At 43.2% G+C, this 25887-nt stretch overlaps 1 protein-coding gene across 10 annotated transcripts in view, besides 1 other annotated feature; it reads left to right on the top strand.

Moving 5' to 3' along the window:
* The window catches only part of PIEZO2 (piezo type mechanosensitive ion channel component 2), a 479323-nt gene that overhangs the window by 450313 nt on the left and 3123 nt on the right, over positions 1-25887 (top strand). For 9 of the 10 annotated variants that reach the window (XM_047437735.1, XM_017025918.3, XM_047437736.1 and 6 more), the window contains 11 exons: positions 80-332; positions 1377-1509; positions 2718-2865; positions 2969-3183; positions 7874-8032; positions 9455-9602; positions 16965-17153; positions 17504-17596; positions 18886-19058; positions 21382-21510; positions 23969-24048. In XM_047437735.1, the coding sequence (XP_047293691.1) occupies positions 80-332; positions 1377-1509; positions 2718-2865; positions 2969-3183; positions 7874-8032; positions 9455-9602; positions 16965-17153; positions 17504-17596; positions 18886-19058; positions 21382-21510; positions 23969-24048 (1720 nt within the window). Of the gene's footprint in view, positions 1-79; positions 333-1376; positions 1510-2717; positions 2866-2968; positions 3184-7873; positions 8033-9454; positions 9603-16964; positions 17154-17503; positions 17597-18885; positions 19059-21381; positions 21511-23968; positions 24049-25887 lie in introns of those variants that run through there. The other variant, XM_047437737.1, reaches the window with a different exon arrangement.
* Positions 13421-13490: an enhancer, noted in NCBI's record as "active region_13084". NCBI's record gives its function as "activates an Ori minimal core promoter by ATAC-STARR-seq in GM12878 lymphoblastoid cells {active_cell/tissue: GM12878}" and the evidence as "EXISTENCE:reporter gene assay evidence [ECO:0000049][PMID:35858748]".

Genomic DNA, 25887 nt, shown 5'->3' with positions numbered 1-25887 from the left:
GATGAGATTTTGTAAGACAGAATACCAAGGGTTCCACCTGAAACAGTAGCCTCATTTGTCCCTGTCCCTGCTTTCTCAGTGCCATGGCTTATGGGATGAAGATGACATGACTGAAAGTGGCATGGCCAGGGAGGAATCAGATGATGAGCTCTCCCTCGGTCATGGCAGGAGGGACTCCTCCGATTCTCTCAAGTCCATCAACCTGGCCGCGTCTGTGGAGTCAGTGCATGTGACCTTCCCGGAGCAGCAGACAGCTGTCCGGAGGAAGCGCTCCGGCAGCAGCTCCGAGCCATCCCAGAGATCCAGCTTTTCTTCAAACAGATCCCAAAGAGGTATCTGTCGACACAATATATCTAGGCTGTAGTTAGCTCCCAGGTGGCCTTGTTTTTCTGGTGCCTGTGGGTCTGGGGCAAGGGAGTGTATTGGGTGCTATCAAGAGACAGACATTGTTATGTGAAAAGAAAGGGCTTTGAAATCAGAGAAACCCGAGTTCAAATCCTGCCTCAGCTGTGTGACCCCATTACCCAAAACACCTTATTGTATCTCAGGACAAGGGTTTCAGATAATTGTGAAAAATGGCCGGCACACTGCCTTGTACCTAATAAACGCCAGGCTCATGATAATTTATTTGTGTTACATGCGAAAAATCTGCAGGGCGTGTCCAGAGTGCTATCAATCACAATGTATTTTTTAAACATATTTAGATGTAATTGATGAGAACTTTTAGCCAAACTATGGTTATTTCCTAGTCTAGTAATTAATTTTTTCCCAAACAACGAGTACAATCAGAAAGTAGATATGCCTCACAGCTGCCCCTCTTGGAATCACTAGGCTTTTGTATCTGTGGGGCTCCTGTCTGAAGCTTTTGTAATTATGGGGCTCCTGTCTGAAGCTTTTATAATTATGGGGCTCCTGTCTGAAGCTTTTGTACTTACGGGGCTCCTGTCTGAAGCTTTCCATGCAGTGGTGTATAGTCATCTTCAGAACCTGCTTTTGAGGCAGATACTGGCAGATTATGTCATATTCATTTTACAATTAGAGAAACTAGAATAGGAAAACAGACATGGGGCATCCTATCTGGAACACCTGCATCCTAGTACCCTAGTTAGCACAATAAAAACTATCCTTCCAGTTTATTTACTTCTGAAACAAAGATTGCATAGCAATCCAGGAAAGAGCCACCATGGGGTGTTAAACCCCACAGGCCTGCGATGGGAGCAGAGTTGAGGACAAATCCCAAGGCCGTGCATACTCATCCTCCCAAACAGTCCTGAGCTATCCCTCCACCATGTGGGCTCTGGGTTCTGCTTCTTGGATATTTAGGTGAACAAACCCCAGGCTCCACCACCCATCTTATGATCTCTTTTTATTTCTAGGCAGCACAAGCACCCGAAACAGCAGTCAAAAAGGAAGCAGTGTTTTGAGTATTAAGCAAAAAGGCAAAAGGGAACTTTATATGGAAAAGCTTCAAGAACATTTAATCAAAGCAAAAGCCTTTACCATAAAGAAGTGAGTCCATGAGAACATATGGCATGTGTGCTTTATTGTAGGGTTTTGGGCTTTATTATTTCCTATAAACCAGGAGCAGAGCAGAGAAGTAACTTCTCGTGTCACAAATGTTATCTGCGTAAGGCAGAATGAAATTACCCCTTTTTGTCTTGTTTTTAAAAATCATTTTTCTGTAAGTGTGATTCATTTTATATCCATTGCATTTATGCACATGCTTTTTCTATTTGAACAGAGTAAATGGGTCATTTCAAGGGCTCATGGATTGTATTCTTAGGCATTATCATGGTGAAGTCCAGCCAGACTGAGAGGAATACAGTGTCAATGCTGGAAGGGCCTTAGACCTGCACTCTTATCCTGAGAAGGGGATGGAAGTGCATGGTGGGGAAATGCTTTGTCCATGGTCATACACCTGTTACCCAGCACACTACACAGGTCCCTCCACCTGCTGGGGATGGAAGTGGTGCATGGGACTGGGACTGCCAGCTGGGAGTGGAGCCCTGGACAGAGGCTCTGAGAGCAGGAGAGCCAGTGGCACCTGAACGTGGCGTTGAACTGAAGGCAGGTCCCAGAGCAAAGATAGGGCAAAGGTTAGACAGACAAGCAAGAGCCAACAGGACACCACACTAAGGCACAGAGCAAAGCATAGATAAAAGGCCAGGGGAGTATGTGGGAGCCAGCATGGACACAGGCCCTAAAACAGGAGGAGCAGGGGCGTTGCACATTCAAACGCGCATGGACCAAGCACTCCAAGTCTGAGCGCCCTCATGCATTCCCTCATTTACTTCCCACCTTGGCCCTAGGCATCAGGTCTTCTCATCACTCCAGTTTTACAGATGAGAAAACTAAACACAGAGGTTACATAGCATGCTCATGGTTCTCGCCGGTGGTGAGCAATTGAATCAGGCTACAAACCCAACACCTCGTTCCCAGGGCATCATACCATTCTATTATGCTTCAAGCAAGAGGAGAGGGCTGTGGTGCCATCAGCAGAGAGGGCTGCAGTACCTATCTTGGCAGTAAATGTGTATACGCTCTCCGTTAGAACAGGAGCTGTCCACAGCGGGACTATCCTGAGGCAGAGAGAGGAAGGTGGGACCTGACTGGAAAGAGGAATGCAGAGGAGTGGCATGATGGCAGTGTCTGGTCATTTCTGCCATCCTGCCCTTCCTGAAACAAGTGGGTTGGGGGTGGGGGTCTCCATTTTGCAGGACGCTGGAGATCTATGTGCCCATCAAACAGTTCTTTTACAACCTCATCCACCCGGAGTATAGCGCCGTGACTGACGTGTATGTACTCATGTTCCTGGCTGACACTGTGGACTTCATCATCATTGTCTTCGGCTTTTGGGCCTTTGGGGTAGGTTGGGGCAAAGGCCACAGCACCCGCCCTGACCCATGGCGATGGCGCTTCCTGCCATGAATTGCCTCTCTTGGGCATGAATTTGTTGTCTCTTCCCCAGAAACACTCAGCAGCTGCAGACATCACCTCTTCACTGTCAGAGGACCAGGTCCCGGGGCCGTTTTTGGTGATGGTCCTCATTCAGTTTGGAACCATGGTGGTGGACCGAGCCCTCTACCTCAGGAAGACTGTACTGGGAAAGGTCATCTTCCAGGTCATTCTTGTGTTCGGAATTCACTTCTGGATGTTCTTCATCTTACCTGGTGTGACTGAGAGGTAAGGTCTTCAGAAGCCAGAGGCACCAACCTGCCTCCATGCAACTGTGTTTCCTGAGGTGATACTCGCATGCATTGCACAGCAGAACTGCTGGCCACAGGCAGAGCCTTGGCACAGCAGCACCACGGGTAGGAAGAGCTAAAGGTTTGGGTCAATAGTCAACGCAAATCCAAAGTGTGAACTGATTCCTCAAAAATATTTTAATTACATATTATCTACATTTGTAGAAATAAGGTTTCTATAAATAACAACGGTGACAGCCTTAATAACCTGAACAAACCTAGGGTATTTGTGCTGTGTTTCTCTCTACACCTTAGCAGAGGTGGAGGTAAAGTGGAATATGGTCTTGGGGGCATTTTTGAGAGGGAGAGAAGGCACAGACTAAGTCATGAGAGAAATAGATGAACAAATGGAGGATGCTTAATGGATAGAAGAAGAGATAGAGGGAGAGGGTTGGGGAGCAGATGATAGAGTCTCCACATAGGAGACTGGTGGGGGTTAACTGCAGCGAGGTTTGAAAGCACCTAGCAATGTCTCAGCTTGTGGTAAGAGAAGCACGCAGACCCATCCTGCTGGACTCTGCTGCTGTTAATACAACTAGTGCTGCTGGTCAGGGTGGCCAGAAGCTGTCAGGAAAGGGCTGGTAAGATCCTTCAAAGTGGCTGCTGTGCTTCCCTCTGTCACCTAGAACCCTAAGGAAAGGGTGTTGACCTTCAGTTCCCCAGTGTGCCTGGCATCTCCAAGCTCTGCTCCCTCCCAGCCTTCTTCTCCCCAGCCTCCAACCCAAAGTCTACTTCCTCCTTACTCTCGAGATCTCTGTTCAGATAACACTTCTCTATAGACTGTCTCCCACCTCACGCCTCCAGGCAAAACAGTGTTTATGACAGTTGGTGCTCATGGATGAACAAATGATCTGGTCATTTCGGCAAAGAAAAACAAAGTGGAGTTTTATAAATGGGAAATATCTGCTTTGTCAGGTTATGAAAGAAAAGGCTCTGCAGAAGGTGAATGTGGCCTTGTCCATATGATGTAGTAGGAATAGGAATTTTTAATAAGCATATCTGATTTTATGTACACAAGCAAACTATAACTCTTCGTCACTGGCCTGGGGAGCCACATACCTAATCCAGTGAAGCTGCCATCATCTGCTGTGGCTCTGAAAGCCTCCTCTGGAACTGCACTCCCAGACTGTGACATGCTAGTTTTTTAAAAAATTTATTTATTTATTTATTGTTTTTAGGGACAAAATCTCACTCCATCACCCAGGCTAGAGTGCAGTGGCATGATCATAGCTCACTGCAACCTTGAACTCCTGGGCTCAAACAATCCTCCCGCCTCAGCCTCCAGAGCAGCTGGGGATACAGGTGCACATCACCGCTCCTGACTATTTTTTATTTTTATTTTTTGTAGAGATGAGGTCTCATTATGTTACCCAGGCTGGTCTCAGAGGCCTGGACTCAAGCAGTCCTCCTGCCTGGGCCTCCCAAAGTGCTAGGATTGCAGGCATGAGCCACTGTGCCCGGTCAATGATGTACTATTTTAAACATCCTCAGGTATCTCTGAAAATCTTCATGCTTAACAGAAAATTTGATCTTTTGATCACACCTCTGAGTCATTTGTAGCCAAGTCTTATGAATAACATATCAAACAGGCAGGCTAATATCATTTGGGAAGAATGAATAGAAAGTAATAAAAAAAATGGATTTTACGTATGTGGCTCATAAGTAAACCAGTTCAAGTGTAATTCCTATTGAGAAAATCCAAATTGCTTCTAACAGTAGCCAGAGCCTAATGGCTGCTTTTGTTTGAGTGTTTAGGTTCTGACCGTTCGATTTCAGTATAGGAATTATTGCTTTATAATAATTATAAAAATTATTATTAAAAATAAATTCTAATTATAAAATTATTGCTTTATAATAATAAATGGTGACAATGCAGATATTTTTAAAGGAAAGTAGAATTGGGATACTTTTTCCTGAGTCTACAGTAGAACTAAATAAAGGATTGTTACCCAGAAGAGACACAATAACCCAGTTCTCCATTCCACACCATATATTGGGAGATTAAATATAGCCCAGGCTATAATAATAATTCAGATGAACGCCACTGCTTGTACAAATATTATAATTTTTTCATGAGAGTGTTGTGAATATTGTTTGTAGGTATTTAAAATAGAATACATAAAATACATTTTTCAGTACAAAACCAACCTTCACAGAAACTCTTAATTTCAGAGAAGAAAGACACCTTAAAACGCTTTCCAAGCCTATTACCTAATTTTGCAGATTAAGATAGATACAACCCAGAAAGAAAAGTGATCTCCCCAAAGTCATTCAGCCAGTGAATGGTGATACTAGATCCTAATCCCAGGCCAGCAAAATAAGTAAAAATAAAAGACATCCGGATTGGGTTGGGCATGGTGGCTCATGCCTGTAATCCCAGCACTATGGGAGGCTGGGCCAGGTGGATCACAAGGTCAGGAGTTAGATACCAGACCAGCCTGGCCAATATGGTGAAACCCCGTCTTAAAAAAAAAAAATGCCTTATGTGGTGTCGCGCGCCTATAGTCCCAGCTACTCAGGAGGCTGAGGCAGGAGAATCGCTTGAACCCTGGAGGCAGAAGTTGCAGTGAGCTGAGATTGCGCTGCTGCACTCCAGCCTGGGTGACAAAGAGTGAGACTCCATCACACACACACACACACACACACACACACACAAAATCCAGATTGGAAAGCAAGAAGCAAAACCATGCGGCAGATATGACAGCCTATATAGAAAATCCGGTGGAATCTACAATAAGGCTGTCAGAAGTTATAAATGAACTTTGGAAGCTTGCAGATACAAAACCAGCATACAAAACTCAATTGTATTTTTATATGCAAGTAATAAATGCTCAATAATTTGAATTTTTAAGAATATCATTTACAATGCCATTAAAAATATGAAAAACTATCATATTTAGGGATAAATATGATAAAACATGTACAAGACTTGTACAATGAAAATATAAAAGGCATGGCTGAGAGAAATTAAAGAAGGCCTAAATAAATCAAGAAGACTTAAATTCATGCATCAAAATACTTGTGAATTTCTCATGAATTTGGGGGAGATGCAGTTTCTCCCCAAATTGATCTATAGATTGACCACGGTGCACATCAAAATTCCCAGCAAGATTTTGTGGTAGAATTTGGTAAGCTGACAAAAATTCATATGGAATTGCAAAAGATCTAGAAGAACTAAAAGAACTTTGAAAAAGAACAGTATTGGAGCACTTATTCTTCCTGCCCTCAAGCATTATTATAAAGCTGTGATGATCAAGCAGTGAGGTGTAGCCTCAAGATTCAGACGAACAGAACAATGGAACAGAACAGAGAGTCCAGAAATAGAAGACCCACAGTCCCAATTCAGCTGATGTAGGGAAGGTGCAAAGGCCATCCAGTGAAGACAGAACAGTCTTTTCAACAAATGCAAATGGTGCTGGAACCATTAGATATCTCCACGGGGGTGTGGGCAAGAGAGAGACAGAAAGAGAAGGAAGGAAAGAAGGAAGCAAGAAGGAAGGAAGGGGTGAGAGAGAGAGAAAGAAAGAAGGGAGGGAGGGAGGGAAGGAAGAAAGGGAGGGAGGGAGGCAGGGGACAAATCCAAAATATGGCACAGAGAGAAATATGGTGCTTGTATCAAAACATTCAAGTATGGATCTTAATTTTAAGGACAGAGAAGATTATACCAAACTCTTACCAAGTCAAAAGTTTTCTTTTTATTTCCTTTTTAAAATCTGTACTGACCATGTTTAAGACATTTGGAGAATGCTGCATTTATCCAAAGTTTAAAGTGGTCCTATAGCTCATCATTCTTTGAAATTATATTCTAAAATGTTTTTCTAGTGTGAAATTTAATTCTACTATTTTTTTTCAAACTTGTGCTAGCAGTCCTGAACTGTACAATACTATGTCTCTTCACTATTCACCTGGAGAGAAGACTACCATCTGTACTGTTGAGGAAATCATTAAAAATAAATAAACATCAGGTCATGGAGTTATAGATTTGCAGAACTAGGAAGAATTATCAAATAAAGACACTGATGTCTTGAGAAATGATGGCTTGGGAAACAAACCCCATAACATATAGACAGAACTGGAACCAAATCCAGGTGTTTCCAGAGTTTGTTAATCCATTACTTATTTTTATAATGAATAGTAAAAAGAAATTGAGAGTCCACCTATCAGAATTCTTTCTCCTACATATTCCAAATGGATCCTCTCTCTCTCTCTCTATATATATATATATATATGTGTGTGTGTGTGTTTATATATATTTTTAATATATCATATATATAATGTATATAGGCTTTTTCTTTCAGGAGTCTAATTTGGACTATGGTAGCTGCATCATCTACATAGTGAGAAAATATTTATCAGTAAATTCACTTAATAATTTATTTTAATTATGGCCTAAACAACAGTATAAGACAGATTGGAGGCACCATTCACAGGAAATCATTTTAATTATTGAATTTTTTTATCCCACCTTTTGCCTTTGAAGTGATCCACTATGTGTAGACAGTTCATTAGAATTGAGTTGGAATGATGAAGGGGAAATTCTGTTGGCCTGTTGTTTTAATTTGACACTGCCATCCTTTTGTTTCAGAAGAGTATTTCATTGCTTCACTTTCTGTACTTTTACATTTTAGGAAATTCAGCCAGAACCTGGTTGCCCAGCTTTGGTACTTTGTGAAATGTGTTTACTTCGGGTTGTCTGCTTACCAGATCCGTTGTGGCTACCCAACGCGAGTCCTGGGGAACTTCCTCACCAAGAGCTACAATTACGTCAACCTCTTCTTATTCCAAGGGTAGGACGCTCTGCAACGTCACAGTCACTTATGGGGGAAGAATAGCGGTGGAAAGGCATTTTGATTCCCAACTGGGAAGTAAGGGGGAGAGGATGAATTCAGCAGTGGGAATCGTTGTGGAACTCTTACGATGTTGGCAAAGGAACAAATATGCCTCTTTAAACACCTTTCTATGTTTAATTGCCACAAGCCTGTCCAGGTGCTGTTCTACATTCATCCACGTGGGTTAGTATCCTGCATAATTACTGTGATAATATTTGAGAATGAAAAATAGGGATACATGATCTGTAAGTATTTATATACTTCTGGGCACAAAAGAACACAGCATGTGGAGCCTGGACTATTCCAAATAACTTGGGAATTCCAAATTATCCTTAGAATTTTTTGTATACAGTAAGTTCCTCCATTGAAAAGGAGCATTCTTTCTGCCTAACACCAACCTGAATGCCATCACCTGTGTGCCCACGTAGCAAGTTAACTACTCAAAGCACATGTGCTCTTCTATGTGACAAGTTCAGCAGTAGCATCTCCTCTCTGTTCTCTCGCAAATTAAACCACGGCATAAAAAGTGAGACAGTCCGTGGCACTGCTGGCTCCTCCTCAGCACCAGACAGAAGAGGTGTCGAGTGCCTTCAGATGCTGTGAAGCGCTGTGTGTGGGGTCGTGTTTCATACAGTGCTAGCCTGTGACTGGGCCTGATGTTGCTTCCAGGGATTGGATTTATATTCACTTGACAGGGCTGAGGCATCCTAGGGGAGAATTTCTGAGTGGCAATCCACACTGCTGTGAGGGCCCTGGGAGAACCCAGATTCTCCAGGCTGGGAGAAGCTCTGTGTCAGTCAAGAGACAAGGAAAATTCTTCAGAGCCTGGAGGAGCCCAGGCCAATCCCTTCTGAAACACAACTGAACCACAGAGGCTGAGCCAACACCATCACTGTGGTACTCCAGCAAGTCCTGCGGCTGAGGGGCCTCACACCCTGGCTCCCTACAACCTCTCCTTCTCCCTCTGCCTTTATCCATTTGCCCTCATTTTTAACCTACCAGGTGCACCACCCCTACTAACTCATCCAGCAACAGAGCCGCAGTCATTCAGCACCGCATGGCCAAGGGTCTCGTAACATGAACAAATAAATGTGAAAGAAGCTGAGTCACCTTCACACCTTCACACTTATTTAAAAGGGAGATCCCAGTTGGTTATGATCATCAGAGAAAAGGAAAAGAATGAAAAAATACAAATCCATAGATTCGACTTATAATGAAAAGCAGTTGTGTTCCAAGTTGGGTTTTACTGGAAGGGTCACCTAGAGAATTGTTTCTGAGTCATGAGGTTAAAGCAGTTAAGGAACTGCTTGAGCTCCTGGGTGAGCAGGGTGGTGGGGGCCACCCACGAATGTCTCTCTGACGAGATGTGTTTCCTGCCAGGTTTCGCCTCGTGCCCTTTTTGACTGAGCTGAGGGCAGTGATGGACTGGGTGTGGACGGACACAACTTTGAGCCTGTCCAGCTGGATCTGTGTGGAGGACATCTATGCTCACATATTCATCCTGAAGTGTTGGCGGGAGTCGGAGAAGGTAAGAAGCCAGGAGATGTGCCTTATTCCTGTCTGCTTCTCTTAGATACAGGCTGGTTATAAGATGAATGTGAACTTCTGCTCACAATGAAGGCATGAGGCAAAAACTACCACAACCTATAAATGTCCCAGTGATTTCCAACCCACTAGAGTTGGGAATTTAGACTTACTGCCGTCATAGTCGTCAATAGCATCCAGATGTTTTCTTCTTTCGGCAACTTCATATTGTAGTTATTTTTAAAAAACGGTATATTGCTTGCTATATCCCAACAACTCTTAAATGGCTCCTTTGGGAGCAGAAAGGAATGTGATGTTATAGAGAAAAGTGGGGCTGGTGGTGGCTTGGACTCATGCTTACTTCTGACTCACTTTTTGAAGAGGGATGGACAATTTAACCTCTTTGTGCAAAGAAAATTGAAGTGCAAATATCTGCTTATTCTGCCAGGCTGAATATTAAGGTTTAAATATGTCTAGATTACTATTATTTATTGCACTTCTCAGAAGTTTAATATATGGAAGAAGAGTCTGTTGCATAAGAGCAATAGGAATACCCAAAAAACATTAGCTGGGGTGATATGAAATGTCTTTCTTTCTCGTCTCAAAATACCCTCCTTGAAAAAGGCTCCTCTGTATGATTCCTGGTGTGTTCTGCAGCTTTCCCTGGGAATTTCAGCGTTACAGTCATGGGGCCTGTTGTACTGTGCTCTCTGTTTATGGGTTTGTGAAGTGAGGGAGATGGGGCTGGCAATATACTTAAAATCATATTTGCTTGTCCTGATTTCTAAGGAGCAGAGGAGTTGACAGGATGCCAGAATATGAGAGCCTCTCTATCGAAGGAACATTGAGGGTAGCAACTAGGGTGCCAAAGCGTCTGGAAATCCTGACACACAAGGAAAAGTAGGAAGAACTAGGGATTGTTTGGTCTAAAGTAGAAAAAAAATAGGGGTATCTGTGCAGAAAAAGTAGATGTTTTTAACAATTTGAAATGTTGGAAAGAGATGAGAAATTGAAATTAATTTGTGAGACTTAAGAAAAACAGAATTAAGACAGGTAGGCAAAAGCTCCCGTATGTTTCAATGGAATATGAAGAATTTCTAACAACCAAAGCTACCCCAAAGTACATGCAAAGGATCACACACAGGGGACTTATGAAACCTCTGCCCTAAGTCTACTTCAGACCCTGGAATCACTCATTCGACAGATATATCAGTTGTCTGTTGCTGCTAACAAACTACCTCCAAATACAGTGGTTTAAAAATCAACTCTTTAATTGTGGCACATACACACCATGGAATACTATGCAGCCATAAAAAAGAAGGAGATCGTGTCGTTTGCAGATACATGGATGAAGGTGGAAGCCATCATTCTCAGCAAACTAACACAGCTACAGAAGACCAAACACCGCATGTTCTCACTCATAAGCGGGAGCCGAACAATGAGAACACATGGACACAGGGAGGGGAACATCACACACCAGGGCCTGTCAGGGGGTAGGGGGCAAGGGGAGGGATAGTATTAGGACAAATACCTAACGCATGGGGGGCTTAAAACCTAGATGATGCATTGATAGGTGCAGCAAACCACCACGGCACATGTATACCTATGTAACAAACCTACACATTCTGCACATGTATCCTGGAACTTAAAGTAAAATAAAATCAAATAAAATAAAGTAAAATAAAATAAACAATCATTTTATTTGCTCACAATTATGTAGGTCAGCAGTGTGGGCTGGGCTCCACTGGATAGTCTTGCCTGGAGTCAGTCCTGTGGCTGCTATCGTCTGGTGGCCCAACTGGGTGTTATTCGATGGTGTCACTCAGACACCTGCAGGTTGCATCTGGCTCTTAGCCAGGCCTCTCTCTCCATGTATTCGCTCATCCTTAGGGAGACAAGCCCAGGCTTCTTCCCCTCGTGGCAGCACATTCCAAGAGAACGAGAGGGAAACCTGCAAAGCCCTGTGAGGTCTAGGCTCAGAGTTCCACCACCAGTGCTTCTACCACATTCTTCTACTTGGAGCAAGTTTAAAGGCCAGCCTAGATCCAAAGTATGGAGTAAATGATAGGGTTGGCAAAGTCATGTTGCAAAGGGTCATGCCTACAGGATTGAGATGAATTTGAAGCCTTTATTTTTGCAGCCTACTATAAACATTGACTAAGACTAAGCACATTCTTATGTGCCCAGAACTCTACTAAGCATGAGAGTAGAGTGGTGACCCAAACATACAATGCCTCACCATCACGGAACTGATGGCTCAGTGGACAGAAACAGGTGTTAATAAAATGGTGACACAAGCTGAATGATGAGAACACATGGACACATGGGGTGGAACAACACACACTGGGGCGGGCCTGTCATGGGTTGCGGGGAGTGAGGAGGAAGAGCATCTGGAAGAATGGCTAATGGACACTGGGCTTAATACCTAGGTGATGGGATGATCTGTGCAACAAACCACCATGGCACACTTTTAACTATGTAACAAACCTGCACATCCTGCACATGTACCCCTGAACTCAAAATAAAAGGTGAAGAAAAATAAAATGGTGACACAAATAAATTCAATATATATGACAGATGCTTTGGCAGAGGGGCACGTGATACTTTGAGAGCCTCAGGAAGGTAGGGCGTAGGTCTGAAACAGAGAGCTAATGGAAGAGTGTAAGTTGACTGGGTACAGGGAAAGCATCTACATTTTTATCTTGGTTCCTAGGTCCTTTGCCCTGACGCTTGTCTCCTCTCCTCCACTGTTACAGGGAGTTATTCAGTGGATCTTTTGCCATCCATTGAATAAAGATCATATCTTTATTTGCTAGATAAGGCCTTGACACATCTTTGCACTGTCTGAAACATCCTCTCCACCTCCTCATTGCCTAACTCCTTCCCAACCTCCAGATACCAATGAAGACACCTCTGTTTCCATGGACCTGCCCTAACCCCTCAAGTCTAGACCCCATCTTTCACTGTGGGCCCCAACAACCCTTAATACTTCCCACATTGGGGCTTGTTGTCTCTTTTTCTGTCTATTATGAGCTCTGTGATGGCAAGCTCAGTGTCTGTTCATCCATATATGGCCTAGGAATCACTTAATACCCTGAGCCTAGACACACAGTAAATGTTTGTTGAGCAACAACTAAAAAGAGTTGCCTATTTACAAACGCACATATCTCAGTGCCTCCCTATGCTGTCCTGGCTACCTGAAATAGATCCACCCATCCTCTCTTGTCTCTGACTCTCTGGAGCTTAAGCTACTGGTTCTTTCCTGGTTTACCTTCTATCCTACTCTTCTATCCTCATCTATTCATTCCTTCCACATTTTTAGACCCAGAGAGAGAAGAGAAATTCAAGAAGCCAAATATGTAGAGTTTGGGATACGTGAATACTGAGAATAGATGTTGAATCTTATATTCGCTAGATTGCTAGTGATCTTTGCACAATGAGTTTCAAAGGTAGGATGGGTGCTGACACCCAACTGCAGGGACTTAGGAGCTCACTGGAGGCAGCGTCTTGGAGGGATCAAGCCCAACAAGGGCACAGAGAGATAATTAGTTCAAAAGAGAAGCAAGCCCAGAGGATAATTTCAAAATGGGGAGTGTTTGGACCTCTCTGGAGACGATAAGGAAAAGCCAGAAGAAAATAGTAAAAATTCTAATATCAGGAAGTTCTGATGGGGGTCTGGAGATTGTAGAGTCAGAGGCACAAGTGAGCGAGTCAGTTGTGGCAAAGAGCCATCACCATCCTGCAGAAAGGGCAGGAGGAGGAGAGGCCAGTAAGGCGCAATCTCGTGCCCGCAGCCTGCGTTCTCCATAAGATGGGGGAGCTCCTCTGCTGAGAGCATGGGAAGACAAGGCCCTTTAGGTACAAGAGCTGCCAGAAGGCTCGGGAAACTGACAGTGAGACGCCGTTTCACTTGGGCGAACAGGTCACGGTGCTTAGGAAGGGGGTTTCCAAATCACAAAAGCCCCTGAATGATCCCACCCAGTGTGACCATCTGCACGGATGCAAGACCGTGTTTGTTGGAAGAAGCGGCAGCTGCTCTGTTCTTCAGCTCACTGCCTTGGAGCCACCAGGTGACATTTTTCACACTGTCATGAGGTGGTTGCAGCCACCACCCCGCCTCCCAATGAGGGAAGGCTCGTTCTGGCCTATAACTCGAGGCATGCATGCCAACAAAGACTTAAATTACCTTTTTATTTTAAAGAAATAAGAAGCCTCATTTTAATATATCACAGCTACTTAAGTATATACTTCCATCCTATGCTAAACCAATGGCTACTTCAGGATATTAGCCTTTGAAATCATCCATGGCAAAACTTCCTGAGACATTTAGGTAAGTGGGAGGTGATATTGGGGAGTCTGAATGAATCTGGCCCTGGTTAGTACTAGTCTGAAAAGTTACTATTATTGATCCCCTGTCTGGAATGAAGTGGAATAATAAGCTGCTCTTAACAGTAACTCTTCCTGGGTGTGATTCCACATTGAATGTGACAGGCTGCAGGGGCTTTACAAACACACTTTATGAAGCAAGAGCAATAACCTGAAAGGCAAAATGTTGGTCCGAGCACACACAGTGCAGGCCACTCACTCTTATTCTGCTTATACCATGACTTCCATGCACCACTTTCCAGAACATTTCAGGAAGCTGATTGGAAATGCAGTGCAACAGGAACACCAAGCAGGAAGCACAGTGAGGAGCTGAGTTACCAGCGGCTGCCATGAGCCATGATCACGACACCGCACTCTGGTCTGGGTAGCAGAGCAAGAGACTATCTCAGGGCAGCAGAGCAAGACACTATCTCAAAAAATAAAAAAGAAAGAGTTGAATGGCCTAGGAAAGGGGTAACGGAGCAGCGCAGGACAGGAAGGGGACAATGCCTTTGAAAAGGGAGGGGAGGCTGAATGTGGTGGCTCACGCTTGTAATCCCAGCACTTTGGGAGGCCAAGGCAGGTGGATCACTTGAAGTCAGGAGTTCAAGACCAGCTTGGCCAACATGGTGAAACCCTGTCACTACTAAAAATATAAAAAATTAGTCGGGTGTGGTGATGTGTGCCTGTAGTCCCAGCTACTTGAGAGGCTGAGGCATGAGAATCTCTCGAGCCCAGGTGGTGGAAGTTGCAGTGAGCTGAGACTGCACCACCGCACCCCAGCCTGGGCGACAGCAAGACTCCATCAAGAAAAAAAAAAAAAAAAACAGGCCGGGCGCAGTGGTTCACGCTTGTAATCCCAGCACTTTGGGAGGCCGAGGCGGGCAGATCACGAGGCCAGGAGATTGAGACCACCCTGGCTAACATGGTGAAACCCTGTCTCTACTAAAAATACAAAAAATTAGCCAGGCATGGTGGCGGGCACCTGTAGTCCCAGCTACTTGGGAGGCTGAGGCAGGAGAATGGCGTGAACCCAGGAGGTGGAGCTTGCAGTGAGCCAAGATCGCGCCACTGCACTCCAGCCTGGGCGACAGAGCAAGACTCCGTCTCAAAAAAAAAAAAAAAAAAAAAAAAAAAAGAGGAAAGACAGAGAAAGAAAGAGAGAGAGAGAAAGAAAGAAAGAAAGAGAGAGAGAAAGAAGGAAGGAAGGAAGGAAAAAGGAAGGAAGGAAGGGAGGGAGGGAGGGTAGGAGGAAGGAAGGAAGGGAGAAAATTTCGAGAGGAGGGGAAAATTGGCTGCGTAATTTGAGATGGATTAAGAGGCCTTTCCCCTGTTGTCCCCTGGAAAGGCAGTGTGAGGGCTGAGCAGAAGGAGGGAGAAGCCTCTGGGAATTTTTGAGATGAACCTCAAAGAGACTGGCCTTCAGGAGAGGAACCAATGTGGTCCCACTTCAGGTGGAACAGACTAAAACCGCCCTTGGCAGAGATACATTAATCTTCTTTAACTTGCAAAACTTTCATGATCCAGTGTGGGTGCTGTTGGAGTGACAGGAGTGGCCTATGATCTAAATTTGCCTCACTGAGAAAATAATGAAAGAGCAAATCTATACACTTGTTTGCATATCTATGTGTGGAAGCATGTATGTGTGTATATATATTTGTGAATATATATTTCAGATTTTAAAATATGGGACCCTAGTCTTCCTTTCAATATAGAAAATCGGGAAGAAAATCAAAATACACTGCTACTGCTATCCATATTTGATGCTGTTGAAAATAGTCAACAGTATCAAATGCCAGTGCAAAAATATCAAAATGCACTGCTACCATCTGAACTTCATGCAGTCTCCATAGTGCAGATCCATAGGGTGCATTGCCTTATGCACACTGAATGCAGAGTGCACTACGCACTGGCCCTGGCCCACCACCCAGTCAAGCCTCCATTCTCATATTTCCGGCACCATCTTTGGCACTTAGTGTCCAGGCTTGTAAAAGCCACTGTAGTCATGTCCTGTACTGACTCCCAGGTCTCTCTCCTGGTGTGTAATCTATGGCTAGTGCCTATGGGTAAATGTTAGATTATTTTTCCTTACTTTAATCTGCTGAAATGAATGGATCCCTCCTGAAGATAAATCACATTGCCAAGTCGGGGAGTGGGGTTGACCCCATGTTCTGCATGTAGCTTGGCCTGAGGGGTAACCCTGAAAGGATGGAGGTCATGGAGCAGCAACACTGAAGAAAGAACACACATGTAGATCAGAAGCAGGTTCAATGCCAGACAGCACAGCTCCAATTTCCACTTGTCCATAGTCTTTAAGCAGGGGGCTTAGTGGGTCCTTCATGAATCTATATTAAAGCAAACAGAAGTGCTCCCAGCCTTACTGGTGCACAGGCTCCTGTAGGAGAGTGAGCCCCTGCAACACGCACCTGCCCTCTCCCCACTCCCTACAGCCAGTGCCCAGAGGGGGCTCTTCTAATCATACAAATCTTACCTTAGGTGTCGAACAACATTGTCTTTAACAACACGTGTCATGAATTAAATTAAAAATCATGTTTTTTCACCCTCCAAGGGCAGGGAAGGGTCAACTGAAAGGCACAGATTTTAAATATTCAGGAATTGAAAGTAAAGTATCTTTCTCTCACATAATCCCTTAAAACCAGAAGGTTCATTCGGCCGGATACTTGATCCCTTGGTCCAGGAGTTCATCACCAGGAAAACCCACCCACAGTCTTGAAGGGAGAAGGCCGCTTAAGTCCTGTTGGCCCCTGTGGATCCACCAGGGGGTACTGGAGCGACCTCAGGACAGCTTCACATCACTACCTAACTTCATTTCGAGATTGGGACAAGGTTGCTATCCCCATTTCAGAGCGAACAGAGAAGATTCAGGGCCAAATCCATGTTCCCAGCACCACAGGAAGAGCACTCGCTCTCCCCCAATCCCGCTGCCTGCGGGAAAGCACCTGAGCCTGAGCCTGAGCCTTGTCTGAACTCTCTGTTGCAGAGATACCCTCAGCCACGGGGCCAGAAGAAGAAGAAAGTGGTGAAGTATGGCATGGGAGGAATGATCATCGTCCTGCTCATCTGCATTGTCTGGTTTCCTCTTCTCTTCATGTCTTTGATCAAATCTGTGGCTGGGGTCATCAACCAGCCCCTGGACGTCTCCGTCACAATTACCCTGGGAGGGTATCAGGTGATCTCTGTGCACACCCCACCTACCAGAGCCTTGCCCCACGCCACATTCCTTTATGATAGCTGTCTGTAGGGTGTTTAGTCATGGGCTGCCGACCCTGCTGTCGGCATTTGACTGCTCAGCAAATACTTGATGTATGAATAAGGTGCAGAAGACACTGAGAGACTAGTTTCCCTTTGGTCTTGAGCACGGGAATAATCACTCCAAAAAGAGATCTCGGATGCCATGTATCATGGGATAAACATAGCCTACATAAATGGGCTGATATCCTACATAAATGTTTTTCTTTTGACTCAGGATGCAGAGAAGAGCTGGGGAATATTGACAACACTGTTCTCTTTGTTTTCCAGCCTATTTTCACAATGAGTGCCCAACAAAGCCAGTTGAAAGTTATGGACCAGCAGAGCTTTAACAAATTTATACAAGCTTTTTCTAGGGACACCGTAAGTAAATCCCTATAGTAGATTTCTGTGAAGACCTCTCATCTAGGGAAGTTCACTCATTGTCATTTAATGCTTTGCCATGGCCTGAGGTGGTGGGAAGGAGGACTTTTCAGGGTTTATCAGTTACATAGAGCACATTCCTGGCCACTGGCTACTTTGATAATCTAAGAAGTTATGTCTATGTTGTTGGACATTAGTGGTAATAAACATTTAAATATTGATCCATTTTAAAAATTGTTTAACTTTTTAAATTGTGGTATATATTCATCTCTTGACTAGTAGGCCTACTCTGGGAATCTGTCCTAAGAAGTAATTCAAAATATGAGAACGCTCTATCTAGGCACTGGCTTATGAGTGCATTCTCTGCATTAGCAGAACTAGAGGCAATTTGCGGTTCAGCAAACAGGAGCTGGTTGAGGAAATTAAGGCAGATGTATTACATGAATTTGATTGGCAAGATACTCTAGAGTGGTCATAATAGGAGAAGGAGCTTCTACTTTTCATTTTATTTACGTGCCATGTTGTCCAAAGATTTTCTAAGCAACTTATTTTGTAATTAAAAAATTCATTACAGAGACTATAAATGACATGACAATTTCTCAAACTAAAACATAAATTTTAAAAAGGCTATTATTTTTAAAATTACAAAAAATAAGAAATACATCCCCTAAAACTTAAAACAACAATTATGTTCTGGTAGCAGAAGGGTGGCTGATGTTATTCTCTTGTCTATATTCCACACTGTTAATAATATAACATAATCCTCATCATTAAAATTTGTCTTATAAATAATTTTTTTTTATTTAAGAGAGTGAATAGGAAGGAGATGCTTCTTTCTTCTGTAAAATTATCACCTATAATGCACACTGTCAAAACTAATCTGGAACAATGAGCAGTTCTTCAGAGAGGGTTGGGATGTCCTGAGCAGATTGTTTTGTCTCTCTCATGACAGAGACGTTCCCCCATAGGTGATAAATTTCCTTTTTAGTGGAAAGGAAAAATGACACTAAATTATCTGTTTTTCCTTTATTGTTTAACTGGAATGATTCCATAGCTGTATTGATGGTAGCAACTGCTGGGATTGGATAATGTAACTGGAAACTGCCCATACCTGTGGGTAAGGAAGCCAAATTAGTGCAATGGAACACTCAAGACCATCCATTATAAAAATATTCCCTTCAAAGGGAGAAACCTTTTCCATACTGCCAGTTAAAAGGAAGAGTGACTGCTTTCTTTATACAGCATGATGCATATAATCTATTTATGCATGTGCATTTGTGCACATACAGGGTGCTATGCAATTTCTGGAAAATTATGAAAAAGAAGACATAACAGTAGCAGAACTGGAAGGAAACTCAAATTCTTTGTGGACCATCAGCCCACCCAGTAAGCAGAAAATGATACACGAACTCCTGGACCCCAATAGTAGCTTCTCTGTTGTTTTTTCATGGAGTATTCAGAGGTAGTTACTGTATTTCCATGTATAATTTATCCCTTTCCCCAGTCTAAACATGGAGTTGGGGGAGGGAGGGTGTGGTGGGATGGAAGAATGGGAACTTTAGATTGATGTGGATCTTACTTTATCATTATAGCCTTGGGAACTTACCTTCAATGCCAAAGCTAACATTTTTATGTATTAAATAATGACTTGCCTAGGAATCACTAACCAGACTAAGAACTTCTCAGTTTTCCTTTTTTGTAGTTTTTAGCTAACTTTAGTTTTCTGGTTTTGGGGTTTTTGTTGTTGTTGCTGTTTTTTATTTTTGCATTCCAAAATCCACTGTATTTTATTAGCTTAATGTACAATTGGTGAAACAACACTTAAATTTCAAATGTTTCTTACTATAATGCAAAATAGTATTACTGTGAACACCTCCCTCATGCATCACTTACAGCACTATTATAAATCTACCACAGGGAGCCTCTCCACTTAGGTTTTCCTCATGCATCTTAGATTTCACTGTCCATAATCTTCCATGGAAAAGGAAGTGAATTATGCCCACCTGAGAGAGAAAGGCCGTTCCTAGCTCTGATGCAGCAAGAACTGGCCACGTGCTTTCACATAAACACTAGAAATGAAGGCAGAGCATCAAGTGATTTGAAAGTTGATTTAAATTAATACTGGTTTTTAGAAAATCTAAAATTGTTTCAATGCAAAAAAAATTTTGAATGTAACTATAAATCTCCAAAAAAATCAATATCCTGCTCCTTAAAAACTGAAATCCAAATAAATTATATATTTTAAAGTTGGGTTATTCTAGATAATAAGTTGTTTTTAAAGAGAGGCTGACAGTGAGTTCTGTGAGCAAGAAAGAGAGGGTAGAGAGAAGAGAGGCAAGGTGATGATTTACAAAATGAAACAGTCTGGGGGAATTTTACAACTTTCACCAAAGGCTGAAGTTTGGTCTAAATGATAAAGAAATTTCAGGCCGATTGTGGTGGCTCACACCTGTAATCCTGGCACTTTGGGAGACTGAGGTGGGCAGATCACTTGAGGCCAGGAGTTTGAGACCAGCCTGGCCAACATGGCGAAACTCTGTCTTTACTAAAAATACAAAAATCAGCTGGGAGGTAGTAGCGCATGCCTGTAATCCCAGCTACTCAGGAGGCTGAGGCAGGAGAATCACTTGAACTAGGGAGGCAGAGGTTGCAGTGAGCTGAGATCACGCCACTGCACTCCAGCCTGAGTGACAGCAAGATTTCGTCTCAAAAAAAAAAAAAAAAAAAGAAATTGCAGCCTCTGGAGGCCCATATTATCACTTGCATTCCACCAATACTGGGGAAGCCCTACCTGACCCCCTTCCAACGTGTGAGATGCGAGGGCAGCTTGACTGTCTCCGAAGAGAGAGACTTCCTGAGAGTCCTCTCTGCCCAGCCTGAGCCAGTGGCCAGCACGTGGCCCCTGCTTTGTTTTTCCTTGTGTTGGTAGAAAGAGCATATCTCAGCAGAAGTTCTCACATCCAAATACTGCATCCAAAGCCCAACAGTTTAGTGATGCAGTTTTGGGAACCTCAACATAATACACTAGTTGATTAACTTAGCTCTTTCATCACAGTTTTGAGACTTAGAACCCTAAGCAAGCTTATTTGGGCACACAAGCAGTAGGTTCATTTGGGTCCATGAGAGTGACTTGTTAGTTAGAATTAAAAAAGAAGCATGACAGGTACAGAAGAATGCTTTCTGGCATCTAAAATTTACAAGGAAACAGTTAAAAAAAATACAAAGTGGGGCTGTTCAGAATGTAAAGAACTCCTTCAATCCCATTTTCTCCTTTTAAGTGTCCCAAATTCCTTATATCCAATTCTGTACAAATTACCAAAAATTTACTTTCTAGCCTTTTCTTTAAAGAGCTACTAAAAACAACAACAACAACAAAAACAACAAAAAAACAGAACAATTAAAATTCAATTTCTGACTGAATATTCTTTTTAACACATGGAGTTTGTTTATTGCCGTGGAGACTAACATCATTGGGTTGATATAAGAATATTTTAGAACCTCGTATTAAAACATCAAGATGGGTTCTCTTTTGGTCAGCAGGTTCCTCCTTTTTCTCACCTTCAACTCTGTTTTAAAAGTGTTTGTGGCCTCCTTGGGTTCTATTAACTCGATTGTCTAAGAAGCTGAGCATTGAGGTGAAGTAGACTGAAAGGGTCAGGATTGACCGTTGTGGACCCAATGAAAACGTGGTGACATTAATCAAATTAAGAGTTAAATATGTTGTAAATCTCTTTTCCAGACTTCTGAATAATCACTGACATTAAGCTTTTTTTTTTTCTTCACAGAAACTTAAGTCTGGGTGCAAAATCGGAAATAGCAACAGATAAGCTTTCTTTTCCTCTTAAAAATATTACTCGAAAGAATATCGCTAAAATGATAGCAGGCAACAGCACAGAAAGTTCAAAAACACCAGTGTAAGTGTATTTTTTCCTACTAATAGAGCTTTGTTAGGTATATGCAGCTGGTACAAAATGTCCATCTACAGATTCATGTGTATGAGGAATGCAACTTCATTCTTTGGTAACACAAAGTTAATTTCTATTTGGAGGCCCCATTTTGCAAGATTAAAGAAACTTAATCTCAGCTATGGAGTTTTCTGTCCACTGTCCCCAGGGTTATGTCTATGTTCCAAATGAGGGTTTGGGCCAGGCATGGTGGCTCATGCCTGTAATCCCAGCATGTTGGGAGGCTGAGACAGGTGGATCCCCTGAGGTCGGGAGTTCAAGACCAGCCTGACCAACATGGTGAAACCCTGTCTCTACTGAAAATACAAAGATTAGCTAAGCGTGGTGGTGCACATCTGTACTCCCAGCTACTTGGGAGCCTGAGGCATGAGAATCACTTGAATTCTTGAGGCAGAGGTTGCAGTGAGCCTAGATCGCAGCACTGCACTCCAGCCTGGGCAACAGAGTGAGACTCCATTTCAAAAATAAATAAATAAATAATAAAAAACAAATGAATGAGGGTTTGTATGGTGCCAGGCTACAGGGAGCTCATCAGTGCATGGAAAGTGCTGGCCCGCTGGGGCTTCCATTGAGACAGACATTATTCTTCCAGGTCTGTCTTCAGTCTGCAGAGTGGCTGTCTCCCTCAGCTATTGGGACCCATTTTGGGGCACACTAGAAATCATCATGCTGATTCTCATGCGATTTGGAGGTGTGGGAGCTCTGGCAGGTCCACCTGGGTTCATATGGCCCAACATAGTATGTGCCCAGTGGTATCGCATTCTCCCTGCCCTGCCCCCGGGGGTACTGGGCTATTGGTGCCTCCAAGGGCCCTATTCAGGAATGGGACATGGGACTGCACTAAAATGATTCAGGCCTCTTGTCATTCATGTCTGCCACCCGATCGTGGGTACCCACTTCACTCGTTCACCCTCAGTGGAAAGAGGTGGGGCTCAAGGTTCCTTCTTAGGGAGCCACTAGTGTCAAGCACATTCTCCTCCCACTCTCTGTCCACCTGGCCCAAAAAGTATTGATCTCATCTCTAGATGACAAACCTTGCTCTTATCTGACCATAATCACCAAAAGCCAGGCAAAGACCCTGTGAGACCCTTTTCTACTATTATTCCTGCCCCTGGGTCTCTGAATGGGGGTAGAGTATACACGGTTGAGGAGGACAAGGGGTAAAAGGAAATTTGGAAAAAAACATATTATATATCTCAAAATACTATCCTGCCACTTAAGTACTCCACTTCCAACAGATGAAAGCTGAGATGTTTAGATTCTAATATATGAACTAGCAAGAAAAAAATGATATGGATCTAAAACTGCTAAACAAAATAGTTCAGGCATCCACCAGTGATGGCCCCAGTTTTGTCCTCCAGACTGCCCTGGCCCCATTGTAATGCATGGAATATATGGATCACCAGGGTGCAGGCCTTAGAAATGTTCCCAGACTGAGATATGTTTTGCGACTCACTAAAGTTGAAGGGCCCTTGGAGACTGTCAGATCCTCTCCTATCACCTCCCAGATGATAAGGCATATCTACTCAAGAATGTATTGAAGGCACTGGGCTTGTGGGAGGCAGAGGTCACTCGAGGTCCAGGCCACCATCTCTCTTCACCTCTCACTCCCCTCTAGATCAATTCATGAAGTCTACTTGTGTATTAGTCCATTCTCATACCGCTAATAAACACATACCTGAGACTGGGTAATTTATAAAGGAAAGAGGTTGAATTGACTCACAGTTCCACATGGCTGGGGAGGCCTCACAATCATGGTGGAAGGCGAAGGAGGAGTAAAGGCACATCTTACATGGCGGTGGGCAAGGGAGCACGTGCAGGGGAACTGCCCTTTATAAAACCATCAGATTTCATGAGACTTATTCACTATCACAAGAACAGCATGATGATGGAGGAAAACCTGCCCCCATCATCCAATTATCTGCCACCAGCCCCTCCCATAACATGTGGGGATTACGGGAGCTACAATTCAAGATGAGATTTGGGTGGGGACACAACCAAACCATATCAGCCTGATTATAGGTATGTTTGAAAATCTAAAAATTAAAATTTGAAGCGTGCTTAATGGTATGGATAAGAATTGGAGGATCCTAGCAAGAAACAGTGCCCCTTGGCTTCAGAAACAAGCTGCAGAATTGGGAAAAGGCCTGTGGCTGTTTGTAAGCCATCACCGAGCTTGTTGTACAGACTTACATGCAGATACAGATAAAGCTCAGTGAATTTGCTCCATATGAGAGAGTTTTGACTGTAATAGGAACCCGTAAATTATGATGTCTACACATTGTACAGATATATGAAACTTTCACTATTATTTGGTGATACAAGGTCAACAATAACAACAAAAAATCAATTTTAGGTGGGTAAAACAACTAAAACGTAATTGTATCTTTTTTTTCTTAATGTACAGGACCATAGAAAAGATTTATCCATATTATGTGAAAGCACCTAGTGATTCTAACTCAAAACCTATAAAGCAACTTTTATCTGGTAAGAATGAGAAAAATTTGTTTCAGAATTGTTTTCAATCCTAGTTTTATTCAATTTCAACAGTTTGTGCTTTGGACCTTCATGAAACCACTTTCTAGTTATCTCTCCCTGTGTGACAGACTATATATGAAACCCCTGACAGCCTTCACTAGCCCAAAGGAGTCACTCACTCACCTGGGACCCACATTCTTCATTTTCTCTTTTTCATAGATATGGAACTTGATTGACGTATATTCGCACCAAATTTCTTATAGTACTGATTCATCAGATTATAGACTTGTTTCTATTAGCAGCCAGATTACTGACAGGAAACTGCCTCATACATTGCTAAATATGTCTGCCCCTCACAATAAGAACAGTAAAAATATAGCATGAAATGTACTTGATTCAGCCCAAGGATTAGTAGTATCACTAGAGGCACTTTAGTGATTGAATTTTCGCAATATAACTTGGATGGTATAAATTCATGTTTCTGGATTCTATTAATTATCAAGAATTGCTTGACTTCATGGCTTGAACCAGAAGCAGATGTATAGATCTGGACAACGCGGAAAACCAGTGCAGTTATCTGGCACACATTAATTCATTCTCCAACATGGGCCACTACACACTAGGCAATAGGCCAGGCGCTGGAGCCTGGGCTCCGTGCTGCTGTGTTTAGCTAGAAAGATGCAGACATAAGTGAAGAGTTGGAAAGCCACACAGAGATTGGCCTAGTAGAGGCCCAATGGAGGGCCCTGGGGATGGGCAAAAGGCCGGGCTCCACATCACACACCTTTCTTCCTCAGCAGTAAATAAGTATCTCTTACAAGGTATTTGCAAGACGCATTAAGAAGTTTGCTATTTCCCTTTCAGTCAGGAATAGTTGTAGAAATGTTTCATCTGGACATGCAGATTGCTCAACAATCAGTAATTTCCCATGAAATAATTCTGTCCCTCCACAAGCTCTTCCTGAGGTGACTCTGTGCTGCAAGCTCCTGTGTTTCCTCCTTACAGCTGTCTCCTGACTTCAGAACCAACATTCTTCCTGTTCCTGTGTGTTCTGGGTGGTTCACCTTCTTCCTTGATAAGGACTTTGGCTCTAATAGGATCATGCTGTGCCTTACTCTTCTTCATTGATCCATCCTTCCATGCCATAGACATTTTTTGTCAAGTACCATTCTTGGATTCCTACCATCTAGGACAAGCTTTTCCAACCTGCAGCCCATGGGCTGCATGTGGCCTAGGACAGTGTTGAATGTGGCCCAACACAAATCTGTAAACTTTCTTAAAACATTATGAAATTTTGGTATGATCTTTTTAGCTCATAAGCTATCCTTGGTGTTAGTATATTTCCTGGGTGACCCAAGACAATTCTTCTTCTTCCAATGTGGCCCAGCGAACCCAAAAGATTGGACACCTGTGATCTAGGAATTTAGTATGAAATGATGCTGATGTTGCTCCCACCTTCACACAGTTTAGTTTATAGTTCACCACCATGTTTCTCAGGGGAAGCACCAGTATCATTGGCAGGAGTGGAATCTTCTTAGAAAGACCTATACAATGTCACTACAAGCTTTTTACCCTATCTTTTACAACTCTTTTGCATTCACCCTAAACTCCAATAAAAGTAATCACTGACCCGATATTATGGTTCTCAGAGATTTGCTGAGCTGTGTCCCATCACTCTTCCTGAAATGAGCTTCCCTCCTCACCCACCTTCACCTATTGAAGTTCTCACTTGGCGAATCTCAGCTCAGAAGTTATCTCCTCTGTGAAGCACCCATGGAGCATACTATCCAGAAGTGGTCTCTCTAAGCCAACAGACCTTGTCAATGCTGGTCCCATGGTGGCTGTCAT

This window comes from Homo sapiens, chromosome 18 (assembly GCF_000001405.40).
Source record: "Homo sapiens chromosome 18, GRCh38.p14 Primary Assembly".
NCBI classification, from domain to species: Eukaryota; Metazoa; Chordata; class Mammalia; order Primates; family Hominidae; genus Homo; species Homo sapiens.
The sequence above is the reverse complement of the archived record's forward strand: the minus strand, read 5'-3'. Positions and strand labels throughout refer to the sequence as shown.